The sequence below is a fragment of the Homo sapiens genome, chromosome 1 (genome assembly GCF_000001405.40).
Source record: "Homo sapiens chromosome 1, GRCh38.p14 Primary Assembly".
NCBI classification, from domain to species: Eukaryota; Metazoa; Chordata; class Mammalia; order Primates; family Hominidae; genus Homo; species Homo sapiens.
Window position 1 is genome coordinate 111,533,853 of NC_000001.11, and position 26,830 is coordinate 111,560,682.

The following is a 26,830-nucleotide window of genomic DNA, read 5'->3' on the forward strand; positions in this document are numbered from 1 at the left end:
CAGTACAGCATATTGGTTAATAATAAACACTTTGGAGCCAGTATGCTTGAGTTTGAATTCTGACTTGCCCATTTACTAGTTGGGTGACTTTGGGCCAGTTACTTAACCTCTCTATATGTCGGTTTCTTCATATAAAATTGAGATACTATTAGTATCCACTTCATAGATTTGTTCTGAGGATAAGTTAATAAATGTAAAACACTTACAATAATGCCTCTATATAATAAGAACGATATAGATATTATTATATATTTTATTATTGCTATTATGCATGCATTTTTATCTTCGTTATACAAATGGAATCGTGCCATGCATGTTGTTCTACAAACTTATATCACCTAATGAACATATCATGGGTATCTTTCAATATTAATACAACCTCATTCATTGTAATGACAGCACAGCATTCAATTGTATGATTGCAGGAGTTGGAGTTGTTTTTAAATCCAAGGTGTAAGAAACTGTAGTGTACATGACAGCATATCACAAAACATGTCCCAAAACGACAATCTTGGCATCCTGGGTTGTAGGAATGTCAGGGAGAGGAGAGGTCAGAACTGGTGTTTGCTTTTGTCTATGCTGAGCTCCTAAAGGACAGGACTGGTTTGCTGCTGTGATCTGAGAGTTGACGATTGCATTGTCTCACTCTTAGATGTTCGGTGTTTACGGTTGCTGTTTAATTGATCAATTTTTATAAGTGTTCTCTCCAAACATGGTTTTCTAGCAGGCCCTTTGAAAAGAAGTCATCTTTTTCCTGCCCCTTCCCATGACCTGAAGTGGGAAGAACTGATCCCTCAGGGAAGGTCTATGTATAACCTGGCAGGAAAGGAGCCTCTGGGAGCACATGAATGATGTAAATGTAAAATCAAGGGGGCAGATTTGTGTGTGAGTGTGTGTGTGTTTTGTGTTTGTGCATGTATGAGAATGTGCATGTGCATATGTGTGAGTGTGGACTCAATGCTGACTTCCTCCCTTACTCTCCACCCCCTATTTACTCTCCCATCACTTTCTACTTATCTTATGTATAGGAATCAGTGCATAAAGTCAATGAACAGTTAAGAGCTGTATTCCGAACTAAAACACAACATGGCTATCAGGAAACAAAGAGACACAAAAGTTAGGGGAACACCCAGCTCACAGGAAATTAGTATAGTATCTAGCTCTAAGTACCAGATTTAGGAGCCTAGTTCAACTACCTATCAGCTTCATGACAACCTATTTGTGCCTCAGTTTTCCCATTTTTAAGGTGATCAAGAGAATAACACCTACCTTATAGACTAATATTGAGGATTCAATGAATTAAATTCATGAAGTACCTCAACAGTGCCTGACACTGAGAAGCACTGAATAAATGTCAACTATTATATCGAAATGTATCCACCCACCCCACCTCTAAACTCCAGGTTCCTTTTGTGCTAACTTCCTTACACTTCATTCTGTTGAAAGAGAAATCACAGAAAAAATATCACACAGACGCTTAGTGCAATATACATATACGTATCACTCTAGAAATTGTTCCAAGGAGAGGTTCAGAGCCATTTCAGGCACCATCTGATTAGATGCTGTAAGCAGCGGGCATGGAATCCCTCTGGACTTTTGAAATCAGATGGGCATTTGTTCAACACATTCCTGTAGGGGTAGTCTACAAAATTAAACTAACACGGCAAAAGGACCCAGCAGTCCAAGAACTTGCCCACCTAAAATGGTCATCGTAGGCAGAGCAAATGTTTAAAGTGAGGATACAGCGTTTAATTGCCCCTTGTCTTACTGAAAGGTGTTATTCACATATTGCTCAGCAATCACTGAAAACATGTGCCAATGAGGGCCGATAACTCCGTTTGGAATGTGCTGCTTGTTTCTGAGACTTTACAACAATGACTGGCCAGGATTTTACTCTCCAGACTCACGTAGAAATGAGTGTGTCCTGTGTGATGTCTCCAACAGAGAACAATCAAAAGGAATCAAAAAGATGTTAGCCATTGAGCTCTAGAAACCCAGCTGCCTTCTCCCGGCCTCCAGACACACAACAGCTTCATTGTATGAGGAGAGAGCATTGAACTGAAGCTTTCCTGCAAGCATATTTGAACTTGGACCTTCAGTGCACAGACCAGCAGCCAGCTTCCAGCCCAGGCACCCCCTCCTCTCCTCCCTTCTCTTCAACTCTGCAAGAGAATTTCGTTCCATTTAAGTCCAGGAGATGTGGCAAAAACAACACTCCAAACACCACTTCCATTTATGGCAACGGGATCCTTTAAACCAGTGAGAAATAGTCCTTCAGCTCATAAGTCCTTTAGCTTCTCCTGTGCCTCATACATTCGTTTTCTCTGCTCACATCGGAGGGAAGAAATAGGCCTAAAGAGTTGGGGTTTATTTTTTAAGTTTTTTTTTTTTAAGGAGAAAAAAAACACTGATATCAACAAAAAGAAGAGTCACTCATTATTAATATTAGAAGGACATTAGCTAGACACAGATCAACTTCCACATTTTTCAGATGAGGAAACTGAGGCCAAAGAAGCTAAAAGCCCTAGCAGCACTGTGGGAAAATCCCTAGGATGAGCCATCTTAGGACACAACATTGAAAGCCATGCCCTCATTTCCCTTACTTACTTGCACTATTAACTTCCTATTAATGATTACGATAAATTGCTGTATACTAAGTCCTATACTCAGGAGAAAGAAGCAAAACTGTACCCAGCAGGAGTTTACCAGGACTGAGTTAATGTCTTTTTCTTTGAATCCATTTCATCGCTCATACCCGCGATCCCTGTCAATGCAATGATAAACCATTTTTTTTGTCATTTATGTTCAAATCCTTAGAGTCATAGCCATGCTTCATGTTCACCCCTTTTTTTGATACTTCAAGTCCTGTTAATTACCCATTAAATATTCATTCTCTCAACAGGCATGTATTCATCTCCTTCCCTGTGCCAAGCACTGTTCCTCCGTGTGGTTGTCCCTTCCTTTCCTCTCCAATCCTTCATTCATCCCCCAGGCCCAAGCTTTTTCACCTTCCAATGACTGGTGCTGCAAGAACTACATGGTTGCCTCCAGGCCACCTGTCTCCAGTACATTATGTCTGGCCAATCTTCCTTCAACATTGCACCAGTCATGCCATCAGGAAGTCTGCAGTTGACTGCTTCCTAGTACTTAGCAATTCAGGTTCAAGTTCTTCCCCCTGGTTTTCAAGTTTTCCTGCAACCACCTTAGCTACCCAAACTTATGCTCCCACTATTTTCACCTAACTCTTCTTTAACTGGTGAAACTGCACTCATCCTTCAAGGCCTAGAGTCATGTATCACCTGCTCTCTAAAAAGTCCCTCTTCCCCACCATTGGAGCAATGGCTCCCTCTTACTCCTCCCAGGGCACTCACTTCTAGCACAAGACTGTCCAAATTGCTGTATGCCTATTTGTTCACCTGGATTCTGAGCTTTCTGAACATAGGGACTATCCTTTTAAATGTTGTATTCCAATGTCCAACAGAGTGGAGGAGCTCAATAAATATCTTGTGTTGGATTCATTTATAGCTCCTAGCACAGCACAGAGCTCTCCACGGTGTTCAGTGAAGACTTGCTGAGCATCTGACATCAGGGCATCATTCAGTGATAAAGACAGGTGTATAAACAGCAATCATGACACAAAAGATATGTTCATAAAGCACTCTTTTTTAAAGAAGAAATTTCCCTTTTTGAGAAAATGAGACCAAAGAGATCAAAAGTCCAAGCAGTACTTTAAAATTTATCTTAGAACATCAGAAAGGACACCAGAGATTTCGTTTTTAAAGAGGAGCTTTCCCTTTTATTATTTTAAAGGAGTGCCCCCATTATTTTAAAGAATTAGAAAGAAAGTCTGGATTCACTCCATAATTGCTAAGGAATAAAAATATTACATCTCTGAAAGAGCAATCTTATTTTACCAAGCCTGAAGGTATGCCTAATCTAGAATAATACATTTTAAGTAAAATTAAAACAATGTAATTAGCAATATGAAACATATGGGGGCTATGATGACCAGGATGAAAACAGATGTGATCTTTTTTGTTGGACCACTTTACTATTCATTTATTTAAGGGCATTTTCCTCCCTGTACCCTAACTACTAAAATGGCCCTCATGCTATTTTTTTAAAATACTTTCCTTAAATACTTAAGCATTTAGGATATCATACCACTTATTTGCTATTTGTTAACTCATATGGCATTTTCAGTTTTTAAAAAGAGTTGGCTCAGAAAACTGAGCATATCAGGATGATGTTATGGATGATACCAGCCATGAAAAATACACTTCCTATGATGTGCAGAAAACCACATCAGTTTCACCAAAAAAACACAATTTGTGCCTCTGGAATTGGATCTCATATCAAACATTTATCAAATACATATGATGGACAAGATCCTGTGCAGAAAACCAGGTTGTACCTGGGCGACTCCTTGCTCTCAAGTTGACCATACAGGGAAGGGGCATTTGAGCTGGGAAGTTTTTCACTCACTCCCCTCCATGTGTATACAGAAATGGCGAGGTCTTTCTAGTACCAGGCTCACTGTTTAGAAACACTACACATCTGTGTGTGACTAAGGGCTCTGAAAGCGCATGAGGAGGAGGTTCTGGTGAGGATGTCTCTCTTTTGTTGTGGCTGCTGAGTCAGCCTACTCCCCACATCTGGCCCTTCATGGGGGGCATCTACCACTATTCATTTTGTCCTAAATGCATTTGTTTACCTTTGATGTGCCAGGAACCAAGCCCACTGAGTCTCCTTTGGGTTTAGAACCATATTGTCTACAAAACAATCGCAACATCTATAGTCATTGAAAGGCATTTGGAGAAACATTCTCAAGAATTCGAGAATTGAAGTTACATAAAGCATGTTTCCATCTAAATGCACTGGGGAATAAAAAAGGGTTCACGGGGCCTCTGGCATTGCTCCAGGAAAGGACTATTACACCACAGAGGAATTGGGTTTTTGCCCAGTGGCCTTTGGAATGACCTGAACTTTATATACTTTTTAAAATAGATGCCCTGTATAGTCATCACCTGGCAGTAGAGAAATTTCCCAAGTCTACTCTATTACATGTGATGCTTACATTCTTCTGCAAGCATTCGTATATTCTACACCCCCAATGGGCCTGATCCCCAGGACCTACACTAAAGGATCTCTCCCACTTGCCAATGGTAGTGATATCCCAGCCTTAGCAAGAGGTCCTTGCCTTGGAGACACCTAGGTTTATTTTTTTTAACTTCTTTAAAAAATAATTTCAACTTTTATTTTAGATTCATGGAGTACAAATGCAGGTTTGTTACTTGGATATGTTGTGTGATGCTGAGGTTTGGGATACAGAGAATCCCATCACCCAGGTAGTGAGCATAGTACCTGATACTATGCTCTTCAGCCCATGCCTGCCTCCTTCTCTCCCCTCTCTAGTAGTCCCAGTGTCTGTTGTTCCCATCTCTTTTCTTTCTTTCTTTTCTTTGAGACGGAGTCTCGCTCTGTCGCCAGGCTGGAGTGCAGTGGTGTGATCATGGCTCACTGCAACCTCCATCTCCCGAGTTCAAGCGATTCTCTTGCCTCAGCCTCCTGAGTAGCTGGGACTACAGGTGTGCACCATCAAGCCCAGCTAATTTTTGTATTTTTAGTAGAGATGGGATTTCACCGTGTTGGCCAGGATGGTCTCCAATTCTTGACCTCATAATCCGCCCGCCTCGGCCTCCCAAACTGCTGGGATTACAGGAATGAGCCACTGTGCCTGGCCTATGCTATTATATTTTACCACAATTAAAAAACACAAGGAACTACAGAAAAAGCAAGGAAGCTACTCATAACCTTACACAATATCCCCCTACTCCCAGTCTCCACTGTCAATCATAACTTTCTGGAGAAGTAAATGGAGAAAGCATATTGCAGGTTAATTTATGTTTGAGGCAGCTTATTCCAGCCATAGAAAGGGGATGGATTTAAGCAGGACAAAAGGAGAGGCAGGGAGGCTGGTGATGCAGTGACAGCAATAAGGCAAAAGATAATGAAAGCCTTAACTAGCTAGCTCTCTGCTAAAAGACAGACATTAGAAACACATTGAGAACCTAAATATGTTTGGTGCGTGACTAATGATAAAGATGAAGAGGAAGAAATCTAGGTACCTAGCTTTAGAAACTTAGCGATGCACCATTACTTGAGACCAGATACACAGGGAAACTGAAATTTAATAATTTAATTAGAAATTTTAAATATTTTCACTAAAATTTTAAATAACTTGATTACAATTGCTAATTGGGAATGTGATTATAGTGGTTTGTAATTTGTTAACTTGGTTAAAATGGCTATTTCCCAGACTGCTCTTCCTCATATGTTTCTGGCTGGGGTAAACCGTAAGAGACATTTTGTGTGAGTTCTGCAAGGTGGAAGTGAAGCAGCACCCAGAATGTTTTGACATGCAAAGGGTTGGTGCAGGAGCACTAGGCACCAATGCAGCTCACGTGTACGTGATATCACTTATCTGCTGCTTCATCTCCTTGGCATGGGGCAGCAGCCAGTCCTGCAGTTAGCTTCTCCACCTCCTCCTGGATCTTCCTTCAGCTTTTCTAACTCTTGAGCCGGGGAGTATTTAGCTCCAAGACAAAGTGTGCCAGCTTCTCCTGTAGACACCCACATCATCAAAGTTAGAGGTAAGAGAGACTGACACAGGATCCATCCATCTTTCTGGGTTCTGGTTGGTGGTTCTAGGATTCAGCTTGTTCCTCCTCCTTTTCTCCATTTACATGCATCTTCCCACTTCCTGACTGCCAGTCATGCAAACTTCATGCTCCAGCATGAGACACAAAGACAACAGCCTCACAGAGACTGGATAATCACATCTCACAATTGTGTAAGGTTCAACTTCTGGTGGTTTTGCTTCCCTGACAAACCCTGATAGAGAATTTGGTAGCAGACAAGATTCCAGGGGTATAGAACCTGAAGAATGAGTTGTCTAAACAGGTTCCAGGTTACTTGGAATTCATCCTCTGATTTTCCTAATGCCCTGTTTCCAATGGTTAAGAGGACATTAGTATTATGCAGTGGCAAACAGTTACACAAATTATCACATTGACACCTTTAATCAAATGCCTATGGAACGACGGTTGGCAAACTTTTTCTGAAAAGGGACAGATGATAAATATTTTAGGCATTGGAAGCCACATAGTCTCTGCTGCATACACTCCACCTAGACTCTGCATAGTCTCTGTCTCTACTCAACTCTGTGGTTGTAGCACAAAAACAACCACAGACATATGTGTATGAATGAACGTGGCTATGTTCCAATAAAACTTTATTTACAAAAATAGGGGCAAGCCAGATTTGGCTCAGGAGTCATAGCTTGCTGACTTCTGCTATAGAAGGAAAGCTTTGGATGAACAAGTATTTGCTGCCATAGAATATTTCAGTGAAAATACAAACCATAATGGGATTGATTAATTGCTTCTAAGTGTGCTGGAGAACTTCAGAAAAGAAAATGATGAGCTCTGGGCTTTACATTCTTAGCTCAAGGTCTATATAAGGAAGCTAAACTCTTCTATGATTACCCTAAAAGAATTCTGACTGATACAGTGATGACTGAACTAAAATCAGTAGATGTTTTGCAGGCTAACTTTAAAAAGAAGCAATAAATTTGTAGGGGAGTTAATTTGGGACATGCCAAGTTGGAGGTGTCAATGAAGCGTCCAAGTGGTGACGCTTGGCAGACAGTAGGATGCATAGTCTGAAACTCTGGGAGAAATGTCCATTTGGAAATCACTCACACGTACTCAATTGTTATAATCACAAGAATAAAAGAGGTAACAAGGAAAATGAGAGAGAGAGAGAAAGAGAGAGAGAGAGAAAGAGAGAGAGAGAGAAAGTGCAGGAGGCTAAAGCAGACCCTAAGAAACCCAACATTCAGTGGAGGGACAGGGGACGAGGGGCCCGTAAAAGAGCCTGAGAAGTTGAAGACCCCAGAAGAGAGTAGCATCGCCAAGATCAAGGAACTGGAGTGTATCAAGAAACTGCGAGTGAATGCAATAAAACTGCACATGGCAGAGGTTGAGAAAGTCCTAAGTCAAAATTGAAACAAAAGATCCACTGCCTTCAAAAGAAACAACTGGAGAGGAAAGGCAAGGTGATGAATTTTTATGAGGTGTGTCACCAGGAACACCATTCATTCCATAAGCATTCCTTTCTTTAAAGAGGAATACCTCTCTTAACAGCTTAACTCAGGGTGGTGCAAAGAAGCTTTTTTTTTTTTTTTGAAGGGTTTTTTCAAATGTTTATTTTATGTACAAAGAACTATCATGTTTTTAATTGAGTAGATGCCTTGGATAATCCTTTGAAGGAAGATCGTTTAGACCAGCTTAATGAAACAGACATCCTTCGCGTACTGACGGAAACACTGGCGGCACATATTGAGGCCGTATTTCAGGATCAGACCTGCCGGTTCGAACACACGCGACAAGAGCAAAGAAGTTAAAAGAGAAGTGTCTGTGTGGCTCCTTCCACGTGGGTGAAGGACTGTGCCAGCTGAGAGGTGGTAGAGCAGGAAGCTGCCTGAGGACCTCCATTTATTTGGTGAAAAACTGGGCTCCGCCCTTAAGAGAGCAAGTCGAGGGCCGTGTAGGAGTTGGAGGAGAGAAATGAAATTTTGGAAGAGTCAGCAGAAGGTGGGAAATTTTTATTTCATTTACAGCAGTACAGACTTCATGCAGCCAAAAGTATGAATGCCCTTTCTTCTGTGACTTACACTGTAAAGGGAGCATTTCTCTTATGTGCAAACTAACCATAGTGGACATGTTTGTCTACATCCAGACCAGTTCCTAGATTCAAAACTTGTCTTTGTTTTTGTTTTTGTTTTTTTTTTCTTTTTTTGAGATGGAGTCTCACCCTGTCACCCAGGCTGGAGTGCAGTGGTTCTGTCTTGGCTCACTGAAACCTCCGCCTCCCGGGTTCAAGTGATTCTCCTGCCTCAACCTCTGGAATAGCTGGGACTACAGGCATGAACCACCATGGCTGGCTAGTTTTTGCATTTTTAATAGAGATGGGGTTTCACCATGTTGGGCAGGCTGGTCTCCAACTCCTGAACTCAGGTGATCCTCCCACTTTGGCCTCCCAAAGTGCTGGGATTACAAGCGTGAGTGAGCCATGGCGCCCGGCCATGTATTTGTTTTATAACCATGAGAAACTAAAATCAAAAGTCTATTTGTAGATTCTCCCAGTGGGTTATAAAATCTGGAATATTTCTGAAGAAATTATTTCTGCTACACACACACAGACACATACACAGAGAGACACACACACAGCGCAGGTGACAGCTCTTTGGTAACTCAACTATGAAGTATAGTTTTTAGAATATTTTCACTGATGAAAGATCAAACTACAGTGATTCTGTGTGAACTCTGGTGTGTATGCGTGTTTCTGTGTGTGTTGTATAAATATATATATATATTTCACCTTAAAATCAGAGAAGAACCTGATTTTGAAAGAGCAACTGACAAATTTTATTTCCAGGGAGATTCGCTGCCAAAAGGGAAAAACCATCCTGTCTGGTCTCACCAAATACCATCTCCCGTCTATTCGCCACTCAGCAACCAGAGTGATCTCTTAGAAACATAATTGGGTCATATCACTCTTCTGCTGAAAACTCCCAATGGAGAGTATTCACCAAAATGTTAACACAATCCTTTCTGGGTGTCTTAATGCTTTGAGAAAATGAACAGTAGATTTTCCTCATTAAAAGATTAGGCCCTCTGTCTTAAGGAGGAGGAGGAAGAGAAGGAGGAATAGGAGGAGGAAGAGAAGGAGGAATAGGAGGAGGAAGAAGAGGAGGAAAAAGGAGAGGAGGAGGGGGAGAGGGAGGGAGAAGAGAGGGAGGAGAAAGAGGAGGAGGAAGAGGAGGGAAGAAGCCCTACTGCAGATTGGACAGCTTCAAACAAAAATAGCATTACCCCTACTCCTACATTTCATTCATTTTGTTATCCCAGGGTGGGCCATTTTGAAGTTGGTAAGGGTTTATTTTAAAGGATTGGGCCTTCTCAGAGAGAGAGTAGACAATGATAGGCAAAGATGGGGCTCTCTTCTTAGGAGGTATTTCATACTCCCAGTCCCTACTAGAGTCTGTGTTGAAGGTTTCTAAATTTTATTTCTAACCCTGAAGTCTCACTAGGCATCTATTGGAAGTCATAGTTTCCAATCAAATGTATAGCCTTCAGTTTGAAGCATTTGAACATGTTTAAAGTCAAATTTGCCATTTGTCCTAAAATAGCAGGCTCCCTTTTCAAACTAACTTATCTCTGTTAATGCAATATTATTCTCTAAATTTACGCAGGCATAAAATCTAAAGTGGAGTCACTCATCTTTGATTTATCCCTTGTTTAAAAAGTTGAGATCAAATCCACATTACATAAAATTCAGCATTTTACCAACTTTAAGGTGCACAACTCAGTAATTTTTAGTATATTCACAATGTTGTACAACCATCACTACTATCCAATTCCAGAGTATTTCCCATATTTCCCAATTTCCTCTTCCCCTCATCCTGGCACTACCAATCTACAATCTGTCTCTATGGATTTGACTATTTTGGACATTTCTATAGATGAAATAATAGAATGTGCAGTCTTTTGTGTCTAACTTATTTCTTTCAGCATAATGTTTTGAAGGTTCATCCATGTTGTAACATGCATTGTATCAGTATATCAGTCATTTTTGTAGTTGAATAACGTTCCATTATATACCACATTTTGTTTATCCCCTTATCAGCTGATAAACATTTGGTTTGTTCCATTTTCAGGCTATTATGAATAACACTGCTATGAACATTGGTGTACAAGTTTTTGCGTGAACATATGTTTTTGAATTATACATTCAAAACGTACATGAACATCCATTTTTGGTATATACCCAATTTCTTGGGTATATCCAATTTGGTACATACCCAATTTCTTGGGTATATCCAATTTGGTACATACCCAATTTCTTGGGTATATCCAATTTGGTACATACCCAATTTCTTGGGTATATCCAATTTGGTACATACCCAATTTCTTGGGTATATCCAATTTGGTACATACCCAATTTCTTGGGTATATCCAATTTGGTACATACCCAATTTCTTGGGTATATCCAATTTGGTACATACCCAATTTCTTGGGTATATCCAATTTGGTACATACCCAATTTCTTGGGTATATCCAATTTGGTACATACCCAATTTCTTGGGTATATCCAATTTGGTACATACCCAATTTCTTGGGTATATCCAATTTGGTATATACCCAATTTCTTGGGTATATACCAAGAAGCAGAATTGCTGAATCATACAGTAACTTTATTTTCAACTTTTTGAGGAGCTACCAAACTGTTTTCCATAGCAGCTGCACCATTTCATTCCCACCGGCAATGTATGAGGATTCCCATTTCTCCCTATCCTTGCCAACACTTATTTTTCCTTTTTTTTAATTAAAGCCATCCTGGTGGATGTGAAGTGGTATCTCATTGTAGTCTTAATTTGCATTTGTGTAATGACTAATGATGTTAAGCATCTTTTCACATGCTTATTGATCATTTGTATATTTTCTTTGCAGAAATATCTGTTCGAGTCCTTTGCTCATTTTTAAATTGGATTATTTGTCCTTTTATTGTTGAATTTTAAGGGTTCTTTATGTATTCTGGCTACTAGACTATTATCAGATATATGATTTACAAATATTTTCCCCCGTTCTCTGGTTTGTACTTTTACTTTCTTGCTAGTGCCCTTTGGTGCACTAAAGTTTTTAATTTTGATGAAGTCCAACTTCTCTATTTGTCTTTTATTGCTTGTGCTTTTTGTGTCATATTTAAGAAACCATTACCTAATCTAAGGTCACAGAGATTTACACCTGTTTCCTTTGAAAAGCTTTGTTATTTTAGCTCTTATAGTTAGTTATTTGATCGATTTTTACTTAATTTTTGTATACAGTGTAAGCTGGGAGTCCAACTTCATTCTTTGATATGTAGATATTCAGTTGTCCCAGCACCATTTGTTGAAAAGACTGTCCTTTCTCCCCGGAACAGTCTTGGAAACCTGTTGAAAATCAATTGTCCACAGGTGGATGGATTTATTTCTGAACTTTCGGTTTAATTCAGTTAGTCTATATGTCTAGCCTTATGCGAGTACCATACCCTTTAGAATACTGTAGCTTTGTAGTTAAGTTTTAAAATCCAGAATTGTGAGTCCTTCAATTTTTTCTTTTTCAAAACTATTTTGGTTATTCAAGGTCTCTTGCATTTCCACATGGATTTTAGGATCTGCTTGTCCATTTCTGCAAAAACCAAGGAGGCAGTTTGAATTTTTATAAGTTTTACATTAAAACTGCAGAGCAATTTAGAAAGTACTGCCATCATTTTTTCCTCTCTTCTTGTTTCAATTTGTTTGGTGTTTTGTTTTACCATTTTAACTATTTTAAGTATTTTAACTGTACAGCTCAGTGGCATTAAGTACATTTACATTGTTGTGCAACCATTACCACCATCCATCTCTAAAACTGTTTTCCTCTTCCCAAACTGAAACTCCATACCCATTAAACAGTAACTCCCCATTCCTTCCTCTCCCAGCCTTTGGGAAGCATCGTTCTTCTCCTTTCTGTCTCTGTGAATTGGACTACTCCAGGTACTTCATATAAGTGAAATCACATAATACTTGTCCTTTTGTGACTGCCTTATTTCACTTAGCATAATGTCCTTAAGTTTCATCCATATTGTAGCATGTGTCAGAATTTTCATCCTTTTCAAGGCTGAATATTATTCTATTGCATGTATATACCACATTTTGTTTATCAATTCATCCATTGATAGACACTTGGTTGCTTCCACCTTCCAGCCAATTGTGAATAAGGCTGGTATGAACATGGGTGCACAAATATCTATTTAAGTCCCTACTTTTAATGATCTTAGATATATACCCAGAAATAGAATTGCTGGATCATATGGTAATTCTATTTGTATTTTTTTGAGGAATTGTCATATTGGTTTTCACAGTGGCTGCACCAGTTTACATTCCTACTAGCAGTTCCCAAGGAATTTAATTTCTCCATATCGTCACCAACATTGTTATTTTCTGTTTTGTTTTGTTTTGGTTTTTAATAATAGCCATCCTAAGGAGTGTAAAGTGGAACAATGCCCAAGGATTGTGTTCTTTTTGATGCTGTTGTGCATCAAATTATTTTCCTACTTTCATTGTTGGATTGTTCATTGCTAATATATAGAAATACAACTAATTTTTGTATATTGGTCTTGTATCCTTCAACTTTGAATAGAAGTAGTGAGAATAGTAATTTTCTTTTTTTTCATGATACTAGGGAGAAATTTTCAACCTTTCACCATTAAGTATAATGTTAGCAGTGGGTTTTTCAAAGATGACCTTTATGAGATTGAAGAATTTCCTTTCTTTTTCTGGTCTGGTGTGTTTTTAAATCATGAAAGGGTACTGGATTTTGTCAAATGCTTTTTCTGTATCTATTGAGATGATGATTTTTTTCCCTTTATCCTATTAATATTATATTGATTAATTTTTATATATCAAATCAATCTTTCATTTCTGGAATAAACTCCACTTGGTAGTGATGTACAAGGAGACTTCAAATGTTTGTGAAAATGGAGTTAAAAAATATAAAATATAAACTAATTTCTCAACATTAAGCTCCATCAATTCAAGACACTTTTGTAAGTGATGATACTAGCCACTTAGTTCATCCCTAGAGAACTGAGGGTCCTGGAAATCTGACGTCAATGCCATTTTTTTACATTATTAACTGAAGAAAAATTGGTGCCTTTTACAGATTTTTTAAAGATTAAGATATAGGAAGAAGTCAGAAGGAGCCAAATCAGGACTGTAAGATGGATGCCTAATGATTTCCCTTCAGAACTTTCACAAAATTGACCTTGTTTGATGAGAGGAATAAGCAGGAGCATTGTCATGGTGGAGAAAGACTCTCTGGTGAAGCTTTCCTGGTATTTTTCTGCTAAAGCTTTGTCTAACTCTCTTAAAACACTCTCATAATAAGCAGATGCTATCATTCTTTGGCCCTCCAGAAAGTAAACAAGTAAATGCTTTGACCATCCCAAAAAACTGTTGCTGTGACCTTTGCTCTTGACCAGTTCACTTTTGCTTTGACTGGACCACTTTTTTTGTTTGTTTGTTTGTTTGTTTGTCTTTTGAGACAGAGCCACACTCTGTTGCCCAGGCTGGTGTGCAGTGGCACAATCTCGGCTCACTGCAACCTCCACCTCCTGGGTTCAAGAGATTCTCCTGCCTCAGCCTCCTGAGCAGCTGGAACTACAGGCATGTGCCACCACACCTGGCTAATTTTTGTGTTTTCAGTAGAGATGGGGTTTCCCCATGTTGCCCAGACTGGTCTCAAACTCCTGGCCTCAAGCGACCCACCCACCTCGGCCTCCCAAAGTGCTGGGATTACAAGCGTGAGCCACTGCACCTGGCATGGACCACTTTTTACCTCTTGGTATCCATTGCTTTGATTGTGCCTTGTCTTTAGGATCATACTGGTAAAACTATATGTCATCTCCTGTTATAATCCTTTAAAGAAATGCTTCAGGATCTTGACTCTGCTTGTTTAAAATTTCCTTTGAAAGCTCTGCTCTTTTGTGCAGCTGATCTGGGCACAATGGTTTTGGCACCCATCAAGTGGAAAGTTTGCACAACTTTAATTTTTCGGTCAGAACTGGGTAAGCTGAACCAACTGAGATGTTTATGGCATTGACTATTGTTTCTGCTGTTAATCGTTGATCCTCTTCAATTAGGTCACAAACAAGATTAATTTTTTCCTCATAAATGGATGTGGATGGTCTGCCACCGTAGGCTTCATATTCAATATCATCTCATCCTTTCTTAAAATGAGTTATCCATTGCTGATTTCTTTGGGGCGTTGTCCCCATAAACTTTTTGTAAAGCACCAGTGATTTCACCATTCTCCAACTCAAGCTTCACTACAAATGTGATGTTTGTTCTTGCTTCAATTTTAACAAAATTCATGTCGCTCTGATATGGGCTGTTTTCAAACTGATGCCTTATCTTTCTTAGTGCCTCAATCTAGATCTTGTTCAGACATGTTATAAGTTAGTACAAGTTCATTTTAGTGCAAAAAATTGAAATCCATGCATTCTCTTCTCATATGTGTTTTCCATGAACTTTTGAAGATCCCTCAGATAATCATTTTCATATGCTACTGAAGTCAATTTGTTAGTATTTTGTTGAAGATTTGTACATCCATATTCACAATGGATATTGGTCTGTTATTTTCTTTTCCCTGTTGTCTTTGTCTGGTGTTAGTATTAGGGTAATATTGGTCTTATAGAAGGTGTTAGGAAGTATCCCCTGCCCTTTATTTTTTTAAAAAATCTTTGTGAAAGCTTAAGGATAATTATTTGAAAATTTGGCAGAATTTATCAGTGAAGCCATCCAGTCATGGGCTTTTTTTTTTTTTTTTCTTGTCTTTTTCCTTTTTTTCCCCCTTTTAAAACATGGTCGGGCTGGGCACGGTGGCTCACGCTTGTAATCCCAGCACTTCGGGAGGCTGAGGCAGGTGGATCACCTGAGGTCAGGAGTTCAAGACCAGCCTGACCAATATGGTGAAACCTCATCTCCACTAAAAAATACAAAAATTAACCTGGTGTGGTGGCATGCGCCTGTAGTCCCAGCTACTAGGGAGGCTGAGACAGGAGAATCGCTTGAACTGAGGAGGCGGAGGTTGTGGTGAGCCGATATCATGCCACTGCACTCCAGCCTGGGCAACAGAGTGAGACTCTGTTTCAAAAAAAAAAAAAAAAAGACAAGATCTCTCTCTCTGTCACCCAGGCTGGAATGCATTGGACAAATCATAGCTCACTGAAGCCTCAAACTTCTGGACTCAGGAGATCCTTCCACTGCAGCCCCCCATGTATCTAGAGCTACAGGTGCACACCACCATGCTCAGCTAATCTTTTTTAAATTTTTTTGTAGAGACAGGGTGTTGCTATGTTGCACAGACTGGCCTTAAACTCCTAGCCTCAAGTAATCCTCCTGTCCCAGCCTACCAAAGTGCTGGAATTACAGGCATGAGCACCACAGCCAGCCTTGTTTTGGGTTTTTTTGTTGGAAGTTTTTTGATTACTGATTCAATTTGTTTACTTTTTATACATCTATCCAGACTTTCTAGTCTTTCTTGAGTGAGTTTTAGTACTTTGTGTGTTTTTAGAAATTTGTCCATTTTCTCTAGATTATAAAATTTGTTGTCATGCAATTGCTCATAGTATTGCCTTATAATTCTTTTTATTTCTTTAAGATTGATAGTAAGGTGCCTGCTCTCATTCCTGATTTTCGTAATTTCAGTTTTCTCCCTATTTTTCTGGTCAGCATGGATAAAGGATTGCCTATTTTGTTGACCTTTTAAAAGAACCAACTTCTGGCTTCATTGATTTTCTCTAATATTTTTCTAATCTCTTTTTCATTTACTTTCACTCTAATCTTTATTATTTTCTTCCTTTTTCTTGCTTTGGGTTCAGTTTGCCCTTCTTTTTCTAGTTTCTAAAAATGGAAGATCATGTTGTTGATTTGAGATCTTTCTTCTTTTTTAATGAAGGTGTTCAACTAACTGTAAATTTCCCTCTAAGCATTCTTCCAACATTCCCTGTATCCCATACATTTTTCTATGTTATGTTTTCATTTCTATTCACCCCAATATTTTCTAATGTCTCTTGCAATTTCTTCTTTGACCCACTGTTGTTTAAGAGTTTCTTTGTTTAATTTCCATATATTTAGGAACCTTCCTGATTTACATCTGTTATTGACTTCCAACATTTTAAAAGATGGGGTCTCACTATGTTGCCCAGCAGGCCTTGAACTCCTAGGCTCAAGCAGTCTTCACACCTCAGCTTCCTGAGTAGCTGGGATTACAGGCACATGCCACCACACCCAGCCCAATTTCATCTTAATGTGGTCAGAGAACATATTTTATGTAATTTCAACATTTTAAAATTTATTCAGACTTGCTTTGTGGCCTGTCTTATAGTTTAACCTGGAGAATGTCCCATATTGTTAGATGTGTACATGTTTATCATTGTTATATCTTCATAGTGGAGTGACTCTTTTATCATTATAAAATGTTCTTCTTTGTCTCTCATGACAATTTTTGTCTTGAAGTCTGACACATTTGTCTGGTTTTAGGATAGCCACTTCAACTCTCTTTTTGCTACTGTTTGCAGGAAATACTTATCTTTTCTCATTCTTTTACTTTCAACCTGTTTGTGTCTTTAAATCTAAAGGGAGACTTTTACAAACAGCATATAGTTGGATCATGTTTTTTTTTGAAATTCATTCTTCTAACCTCTGCCTTTTGAGAGCTAATTCATTCACATTTAATGTAATTACTGAAAAGAAAGGGCTTACGTGTGCCATTTTGCTATGTATTATGTATATGTCTTATATCTTTTTTGCACCTCAGTTCCTCCGTTACTAGTTTCTTCTGTGTTAAATAGACACTTTTCTAGGGGGCCACTTTAATTCCTTTACCATTTCTTTTACTACATACTTTTGAGCTATTTTCTTGGCAATTTCCCTGGGAATTATAATTAACATCTTAATTTATAACAATGTAATTAGGATTAATACCAACTTTTAATGTTATACACAATTTTGTTCCTATATAGTTCAGTTTCTTGCTTTATGCTGTTACTGTCACAAATTACTTCTTAATACATTGTTTTTCCATCAATATAAATTTATAATTATTGCTTTATGTAGCTGTCTTTTAAATCAGATTTTTAAAAAGGGAGTTACAAACAAAAATACATTAATAACATCTTTTATATTTATCTATGTAGTTATCATTACCAGTGGCAGTGGTTTTTTGGTTTTGTTTTGTGGTTTTTGGTTTTGTTTTGTTTTGTTTTGTTTTTTTGAGATGGAGTCTTTACAGAGGGATTCTGCAACTTTATTGGGGCATGCCTTCAGCACTCAGCCGAGCGGTTTACAGTTCGGCCTTGGCCTTCACTTACTGTTTGCTCAGGTAAACTAGAGGGGAGAAATCAGGACTTTCTCTGGTCTTTCTTGAGCATGTGAACAGTTCTCGGCATGCACCTGGCCTTCTAAATTCCCAGAAATGTAAGAGCTTTTCAAAGTCCTTATTCGCCAAAGCATCTCATTTAGGCTTTTCTCCCAAGATATTTGGTTAATCTATTGTTTGCCCCAACTGTTATCCATTGTCTCAGTAGCAAAGGCTAAAACATTTACTTGTGTTTTCAACAAATGACTCCAGATAGTGACTTTAGGGCTGGGCAAGCTCTGAAACAAGATAAAACATGACTTTTGAGCCCATCTCTTAGGGAGTCACCAGACAATCAACCAAGGACAAATATTTCCAAATGACGACATTCATTCTCCTTCTTCTGGTACTGGTGCTAGAATGCAGGCTGTTATCTTCAAGTGGCTATCTGCCACTGAGCTGGGGAGCTAGAGATGGAACGAAGGCAAGTTATAATGTCACAAGTCTGTCCCTCCTATGAAGACTCAGCTATTTTTCCTGAATACGTGTTCCCTGAGTTGCTGCAAGCATTTGGTTAATTTCCAGGGTTCTGAAAAAGTAGATTCTGATCATTTTTGGCAAATTTGTAGTTGCTTTTATGTTGGAGTTCATTTTCAGAGTACCTTACTCTACCATCTTCACAGAGACCATAATTCACCATTTTTTTATCCACTATATCCAGAAAATCACCAAAGACAGCCAGTTATTCCTTTAAAAGTCACCTTTATCTATTTTTCTTAATCACTACCACCACCAGGCAGGCCTTGAGAGGCAATTTATTATACTATTTAAAACCATCAGTTCTGGAATCATATGTTGGTGTTTGAATACCAGCTCTACCACTTCCTACATGCATGACCTGGAGCAAGCCAATTAAAACTTTTTATGCCTCAGTTTTAACATCTGTAAAATGGGATAATAAAAGTATTGCTATGAGGATTAAATGAGTTAACACTTGTCAAGTGATTAGTACTAGGCCTGCATATAGTGAACACTCAAAAATTGTTAGGCACTAAATGCATCCAGCAAACATTTATTAAAGCTAAATTTATTAAGATTATATACTCATCTCTAGGACTATTACAATGAGCAAGACTGACAACAGGTAAGAGCTCCACTTTTGTGGAACTTACGTGAAATGTCCCAAACACTTCATATTCAGATTGCGATTTCTCAGATGACTTCTGCTGGGAAACAATTTCTCATTAATTTCTCATGTTTCTTCCCATCTTGTAAGCAGAGGCACAGATGGCCTTATTTTTGGACTGTCTTCCTCTAGAGCAGAGAACAGATTTGTTTATTGTACAGTATAATAAAAATGTCTTTCTCCAAGGCAAAGGCCAGGCAGGTATGCACACATTCCATTATAGAAGATTTGAGTTTCCTAGGCTTGGGATTCCTCAGCTCTGGCAAAAACTCATGACATATACAGCATTGATTCTGCATCACCTCTGTGGAATTTGAGGAGCATGGGGAATGGATATGAAACTGACATTCATGCTGCCACTATGCTATGATTAATAGAGTCGTTTGTCTCTGACTCAGGAGTCTCATGTCTTCCACCATCATCCACGCAACAGGATAACTTTTTAGCTTACATGCAGAGTAAAATCTCCAGTGTTTCAGCTTTTGACAACTTCTAGCCGGTATGCTGTTACAAAGGTATCTTCCTTAAACCTAATTTCTACTGGTTACATCTAAATTTCTTTATCTGGCTTTCAGACTCCTTCCTACCTACTCAGCTGAATATCTATTTCTTCTTGAAGAAGACTTTCTGCTTCATAGACCAGTATTTTCACACGTATACTGTGATGTTCCTTTCTACCTCTGACATTAGGCTCAAATTCCACTCCACCCCCTTTTGTTGGAATTCCTTTCCTTTCCCCTTTTTTCCTATTTAGTCAACTCAAATCCATCTCTTAACACCTGTATCAAGTCCAAAACTGTCAAGAAACTTCCTCATTGATCACTCTTTCTGCAAACATCTGTAGAACTTAAGAACCTATACAAAGAGCTTGAATATATATTGTGTTATTTTCTAGTGGTTCCATATGGGCATGCATTGCTTCCCCATTCTGACTGTAAGCAAGAAGAGGAGTGCAGGCACAAAGCAGAAATGGAATGTGACTGATTGGAATGGTTACGTGCATATGCACTAAAGCCAGAATTCCCAGATTTAGATCCCCACCACTTATTAGCTATGTGGCCTTGGGCTTATTACTTAACTTCCCTATGCCTCAGTTTCTCCATCTTTAAAATAGAAATAATTATAATGATAATACCTATCTCATAGACTTCTTGTGAAAATTGAATTAACACACATAAAAACATAGATCAAGTTAGAAACATCCCGGAGTTTAGAACTGTAAGAACCTGTGGAGGTATATAGTATTACAGAGGAATTTGAAAAACCTTTCTTAAAAACCTCTCAAACCTACCAGATAAAAAATTAAAAACATCTTTTGTTTGACAAAAAATATAGGAAATATTCCAAAGTCAAAGGTGGCATGGCACAAATCTAAAGAGGAGGGTGAATGCTAAAGCTGGTAGCTGTTCTAGAACATTTGCTGGTCCACAGTAATCCAGAGCATTTGTTTCAGTGGCCACTTGGCTACAGGACAATAAGTCTCAGGTCTACACAAATTCAAAAGTAAGATTAGAAACCCAAACATTTATCCAGGATTGCAAAGGATCATATGCTCAGTGAATAATTAAAAGAGACACACATATACCCCTCAAAGGAATATGGTGAAAAAATAATGGCACTTGGTACAAGGTCCAAAAGTCTTCTCTTGAGAATTTGTAACCACATGTGAGACTTCAAATAAGGTTACAGCCTGAATTCACATTTCCTTCATGTTTCTTCAAAGTGATTCAGGTTGGTAGACCCCAAGCCCCTGGCAAAAGCAAACACAAATTCTCTCTACTCAGGAATCTAAGAATCTAAAAAAGTTCCAAAGAATGTTAGCTCACAATTTACAAAAGTCACAAAATACACAAGGAAACAAAATTCCCTGAGTAAGGGACAGCAGAAACACCATGTAAGGAAAAAGTGACCTACCGAGACTTTAAATGTAGTTATTAATGGCTACAGAATATTTTTTAAGTATATATAACACATTTAAAAGTAAGAGAACTAATTGAAAACAGGAGAAAAGAAAAAGAGGCTATCAAAAATGATCAGGCAGGCGGGGCACAGTGACTCACACCTGTAATTCCAACACTCTGGGAGGCAGAGGCAAGAGGATCAGTTGAGGCCAGGAGTTCGAGACTAGCCTGGCCAACGTGACAAGACCCTGTCTCTACTAAAAACACAAAAACTAGCTGAGTGTGGTGGTGCATTCCTGTAGTCTCAGCTATTCAGGAGACTGAGGCACAAGAATTGCTTGAACCCAGGAGGCTGAGGTTGCAGTGAGCCAAGATTGTGCCACTGCACTCCAGCCTGGGTGACAGACTGAGACTCTGTAAAAAAAAAAAAAAAAAAAAAAAAAAAAATTACCAGACATATTTGAAAAATAACCAAATAGTTCCAGAAAAAAAATTTTTAATGTAATAATTAAATTTGAAACTCTGTGGACAGGTTAAATAGTAGACTCACCCAGAAGAATTAGTAAATTGAAGAATAGCTGAAGAAATTTTACAGAATTCAGCTTAGAGAAATCATGAAATGGAAACTACAAAATATTAAGAAACATGGAGAATGAAGTGAGAGGTATGTATGTATCTATTCACCTTCCCAAAAGAGGGATTAAAAAGGTAATATTCAAAGAGATACTGTCTTTTCAACAAATGGTGTTGGGAAAACTGGATAATAACAAAAGAATAAAGTTGGATGCTTACCTTATACCATATACAAAAAATAACTCAAAATGGGTTAAAGGCCTAAACATAAGAATTAAAACTATAAACCTCTTAGAAGAAAACATAAGGGGACAAGCTTCACAGCATTGGATTTGGCAACGATTTCTTGGATATGACACCAAAAGCAAAGGCAACAAAAGAAAAAAATCGATAAATTGAACTACATCAAAATTTAAAACATTTGTGCATCAAAGGACACTATTGATGGATTGAAAAGGAAACTCACAGAATGGGAGAAAATATTTGTAAATCATGTATGTGATAAGGAATTAATATATAAAACGCACAAGAAACTCCTGCAACTCAACAATGACAACAACAAAATACCCTTGATTTTTAAAAAGGGCAAAGGACTTCAGTAAACGTTTCTCCAAAGAGATATACAAATGGTCAGTAAGTAAATAAAAAGATATTCAACATCACTAATTATTAGGGAAATGCAAATAAAACCCACAATGAGATATCACTTTACACTTATAAGTATGGCTATTACCAAAAAAACACTCACACAGATAACAAGTATTGGTGAGGCTATAGAGAAATTGAAATTATTGTGCACTGCTGATGTCAATGTAAAATTGTACAAGTGCTATATAAAATAGTATGGCAGTTTCTCAAAAAATTAAAAATAAAATTATCATATGACTCCCCAGAAGAATAGAAAGTGGGGACTTGAACAGATATTTGTACACCCATGTTTATAGCAGCATTACTCACAGTTGCCATAGGGTGGAGGCAACCCAAATGTGTATAGATGGATGAATGGACACACAAAATGTAGCATTTACATACAATAAAATATTATCCAGCCTTAAAAGGAAAGGAAATTCCAACACAAGCTACGACATGGATGAAACTTGAGGACATTATGCTAAGTGAAATAAGTCAGTCACAACAAGATGAATATTGTATGATTCCATTTATATGAGGTACTTAGAATTGGGATAGAAAGTATAATGGGTTGCCAGGGGCTTGAGGGAGGGAGGAGTGGATAGTTAGTGTTTAATGGGTATAAAGCTTTACTCTGGGAAGCTTTTTAAAAAGTTCTGGGGATGAATGGTAGTAATGATTGCACAACAATGTGAATGTCCTTAATGTCACTGAACTGTACACTTAGAAATAGTTAAAATGGTACATTTTACATTATATATATGTATGTACATATATATTACCAAGGTTTTTTCAAAACTTGGGGAAAAATAATGGTTGAGAATTGTTCAGAACTGATAAAAGATGCAAATATTCAACTTAAGGAATCACAAAGAATCCCTCATAAAACAAATACATATCTAGACACTTTGTAAAATGTCTTTGTAAAACCACAGATCTACAAAGAGAAATGTTAAGACTAGTTAGAAAGATATTACCTACAGAGGAATGATATTTAGACTGACAACTGATTTTTCAACACCACAGTGGAAGGCAGATGGAAAAGCATCATTTCTTCAAAAGACTGAAATGAAAAATAAGTTTACCTAAAAATGTATATATTTTAAAAATCTTACAGAAGGCCAGGCGTGGTGGCTCACGCCTGTAATCCTAGCACTTTGGGAGTCCGAGACAGGCAGATCACGAGGTGAGGAGATCAAGACCATCCTGGCTAACACGGTGAAACCCTGTCTCTACTAAAAATACAAAAACAATTAGCTGAGCATGGTGGGACCCGCCTGTAGTCCCAGCTACTCGGGAGGCTGAAGCAGGAGAATCGCTGGAACCCAGGAGGAGGAGGTTGCAGTGAGCCGAGATCACACCACTGCACTCCAGCCTGGGCAATAGAGTGAGACTCCATTAAAAAAAAAAACTTACAAAAATAAGGAGGAAAATAAAGAAAATTTTGGATAATTAAAAATTGGAACTTTACTAATAGACCCAAATGAACTTCTAATGAATACATTCTGAGAAGTAGAATGATATCAGAAAAAAGGTTTGAGATGCTAGAAGGGATACTAAACAAATAGCCTGACAAATATATAGACATAGACAGAAATCTAAAAACAATTGATTATATAAAACAATAAGTAAAATAGCTAATTTATGGGATAAGAAGTAAAACAAACAGAAATGTGAACAGTGACAGCATAAAAATTGGGGGAGATTAATCTGAGTAACAGCACTCTAAGCTTCCTTAAATTGTTAGAAGAGAAATGTATCAAATAGCTTTAGCCTGTATTAAGAAAATTATGCATGTTAAGATTTCTAGAGTAACCATTATAAGAATAGAACATCTATTAAAGGGGAAAAAATTGAATAAAGGCATAGAATCTGAATCCAAAAGAAAGAGAGAAAGGAATAGGAATAAGCAAACAGAAAAAGCAGAAGAAATAGAAAGTGCACATTTAGATAATAGAAATTAATTTAAATATAACAGTAATTACAATAAACAGACCAAACTCTTTGGGTTAAAAAAGTCAATATGGAAATTTTTTTCTTTTTGTTTTGAGACAGGGTCTTACTCCACTGCCCAGGCTGGAGTGCAGTGGCGCAATCTTGGCTCACTGCAACCTCCATGTCCCAGGCTCAAGTGGTCCTCTCACCTCAGTTCCCTGAGTAGCGAGGACTACAGGCACGTGCCACCACTCCCAGCTAATTTTTCTATTTTTTTTTTTTTGTCTTAAGACAGGGTTTTGCCATGTTGCCCAAGCTGGTCTTGAACTCCTGGGCTCAAGCAATCCACCTGCCTCAGCCTCCCAAAGTGCTGGGACTACAGGCATAAGCCAAAGCACCTGGAGGGAAATAATTTTTAAAAAGCACTTTTTAAAATCCACATTTGCTATTTATAAGGTGAACACTCAGAACAAAGAGACAAAGAAAGGTTGAAACTTAAAGAATGGCAGTGTAGTAACTGAAAGAAAGCTTGTGTAGTTATAATACATGACTATCAGACAAAAATTTTGCTAAAATAAATGGGTTACTACATAACCATCAATGTTTTTATTTCCCAGGAAGATATAAACTTCTTAACTCTTATGTACCTAATAAAATTTAAACTATGTAAAGTAAAAAATGACAAACTTACAAAAAAATTGACAAATACACCACCATTGTGACAGATTCTAGCATACCTCTTTCAGTAACTGATAGAATCTCTGCTTAAAACATCTACAGGGGATTATTTAAACAACACCATAAGTTTGATCCAACTGATTATATGTAAAACGTAGTAACAAGTGAAAAGTATACTTTTATAAAAATCAAGCATATATGAGGTCATAAATTATATTCTAACATATTAAAAATAATCAGTTTCCCAGAGACCAAGTTCTCTGAACATAATGCAGTTAAATTACAATATATATCCAGTTTTAAAAGATAATTTTTAAAAAACATGTATTTAAACTTCTTTAGAATTTGAAAATATTTAGGACTAAGTGATAAATAATAATAATGAAAATACATATCAAAACTTGTGGGATACAACTAAACTAGTATTTAGAGGGAAATGCACAGTCTTAATTGCCTATATGAGCAAGAAAAAATACAAATATTAATAAGATAATCAACTAACACAAGAAATTAGGACTAAAGCAATTAAAACAGATTCAAAGAATTGGAAGGAAGGAATTTATTCATGCATTAAACTAATGTTTATTGAACACCCACTATTAGGCATTTACGATTCAGCAGTGACCTAAAAAAAATCCTATTCTTTATGAAACTTAGTGCCTCCAAAACCAAATATGGAAGTCAGCATAATACTGGTCATCAAGAGATTTGAGTTGCAGTCCAATTTTTCCAGTACCCAGCTGTGTGTCTTTAGGTAAATCATTTTTTCTCACTTTGCCTCCTTTTTCTTATCTGGAAAGGAGATCATAATTTCTATCCTATCTATCATGATATAATCAAATGGTATCCAATGACACAAACTATATTTTGGGAAAGTATAAGCATTATGCAAATATAAAATTATTATTATTAATATTTAAAACATCCATGTTCCTTTTGCTATCACTGCCTTCCTGGTCTTAGGGAAATAAAATGACTGCTTCATTTAAAACTTTCCTTCCTTCAATTGGCTAAAAGCCATAACATGAGTCTAGCTATGAGGTGGCTTCAAATCTTAATGCTGGGAGAGACTGAGTGTTGAGTGTTACTGTGAAATCAAAGATGCAGCATAAATTACTAAGTCTACTCTCATGTATGCCTTGTATTTCTGCAACTCTGAACAGTGGAATTTTCACAGTAGGATTTAGCACTTATCAGTTGTCCTGTCCCACACTTCAAGATCAAAGGTTCTTGACACATCAAACACTGAGTTAAAAATTGCCGCTCAGAGTAGGCAATTTTTTTCATTCAACACTCTTTTACTGAGCATTGCTTATGTGTTAGGTAATAGACTGAGCATTGGAAGCTCAGAGATTACAATATAGTTGGTGAGGCTGACAAAATTGTCTAGCATTCTCTTAGCATACTTATCTAAACACATGAGATCACAAGAGAAGACTCCCCACCTACATACAAGCCCAACCTCGTCTTACAATCTTTAGAGCTGAACTAACAAAGAGAGTGAGGTCAATCGTTCTCAGCCTTTTGGCTAAAATCTAGAATGGAGAGTGAGGGCAGAGGTAGATGGTCCTGGTCTCATTTATTGTTTCTGTATTTCTAAGGCCTAAGGCAGGGGCTGATATTCACTAAGTTCTTAACAAATATTTGCTGGGTAAATGAATAGACTTTGTGGAACAGATTGAAAGAAGCCCTTGGTAGCAGGTACACAATATCCAATAAATACTTTTTAAATGTTTTACTTATTAATTAGAGACAGGGTCTTCTGTCACTGAGGCTGGAGTGCAATGGCACGATCATAGCTCACTGCAGCCTCAAACTCCTGGGCTCAAGCACTCTTCCTGCCTCAGCCTCCCATGTAGCTGGGACTACAAGCATGCCTCACCACATCCAGCTAATTTTTTTTCCATTTGTTGGAGAGACAG

At 37.9% G+C, this 26,830-nt stretch overlaps 2 protein-coding genes across 3 annotated transcripts in view; one reads left to right on the forward strand and one right to left on the reverse strand.

The window, feature by feature from the left end:
* TMIGD3 (transmembrane and immunoglobulin domain containing 3) overlaps positions 1-26,830 on the reverse strand; it is an 80,615-nt gene that overhangs the window by 50,505 nt on the left and 3,280 nt on the right. The window lies entirely within an intron of this gene.
* The window catches only part of RAP1A (RAP1A, member of RAS oncogene family), a 174,683-nt gene continuing 156,009 nt past the window's right edge, over positions 8,157-26,830 (forward strand). The window contains exon 1 of the mRNA NM_001370216.2: positions 8,157-8,657. The gene's annotated coding sequence lies outside the window, so the exon portion shown is untranslated. The remainder of the gene's footprint in view (positions 8,658-26,830) is intronic.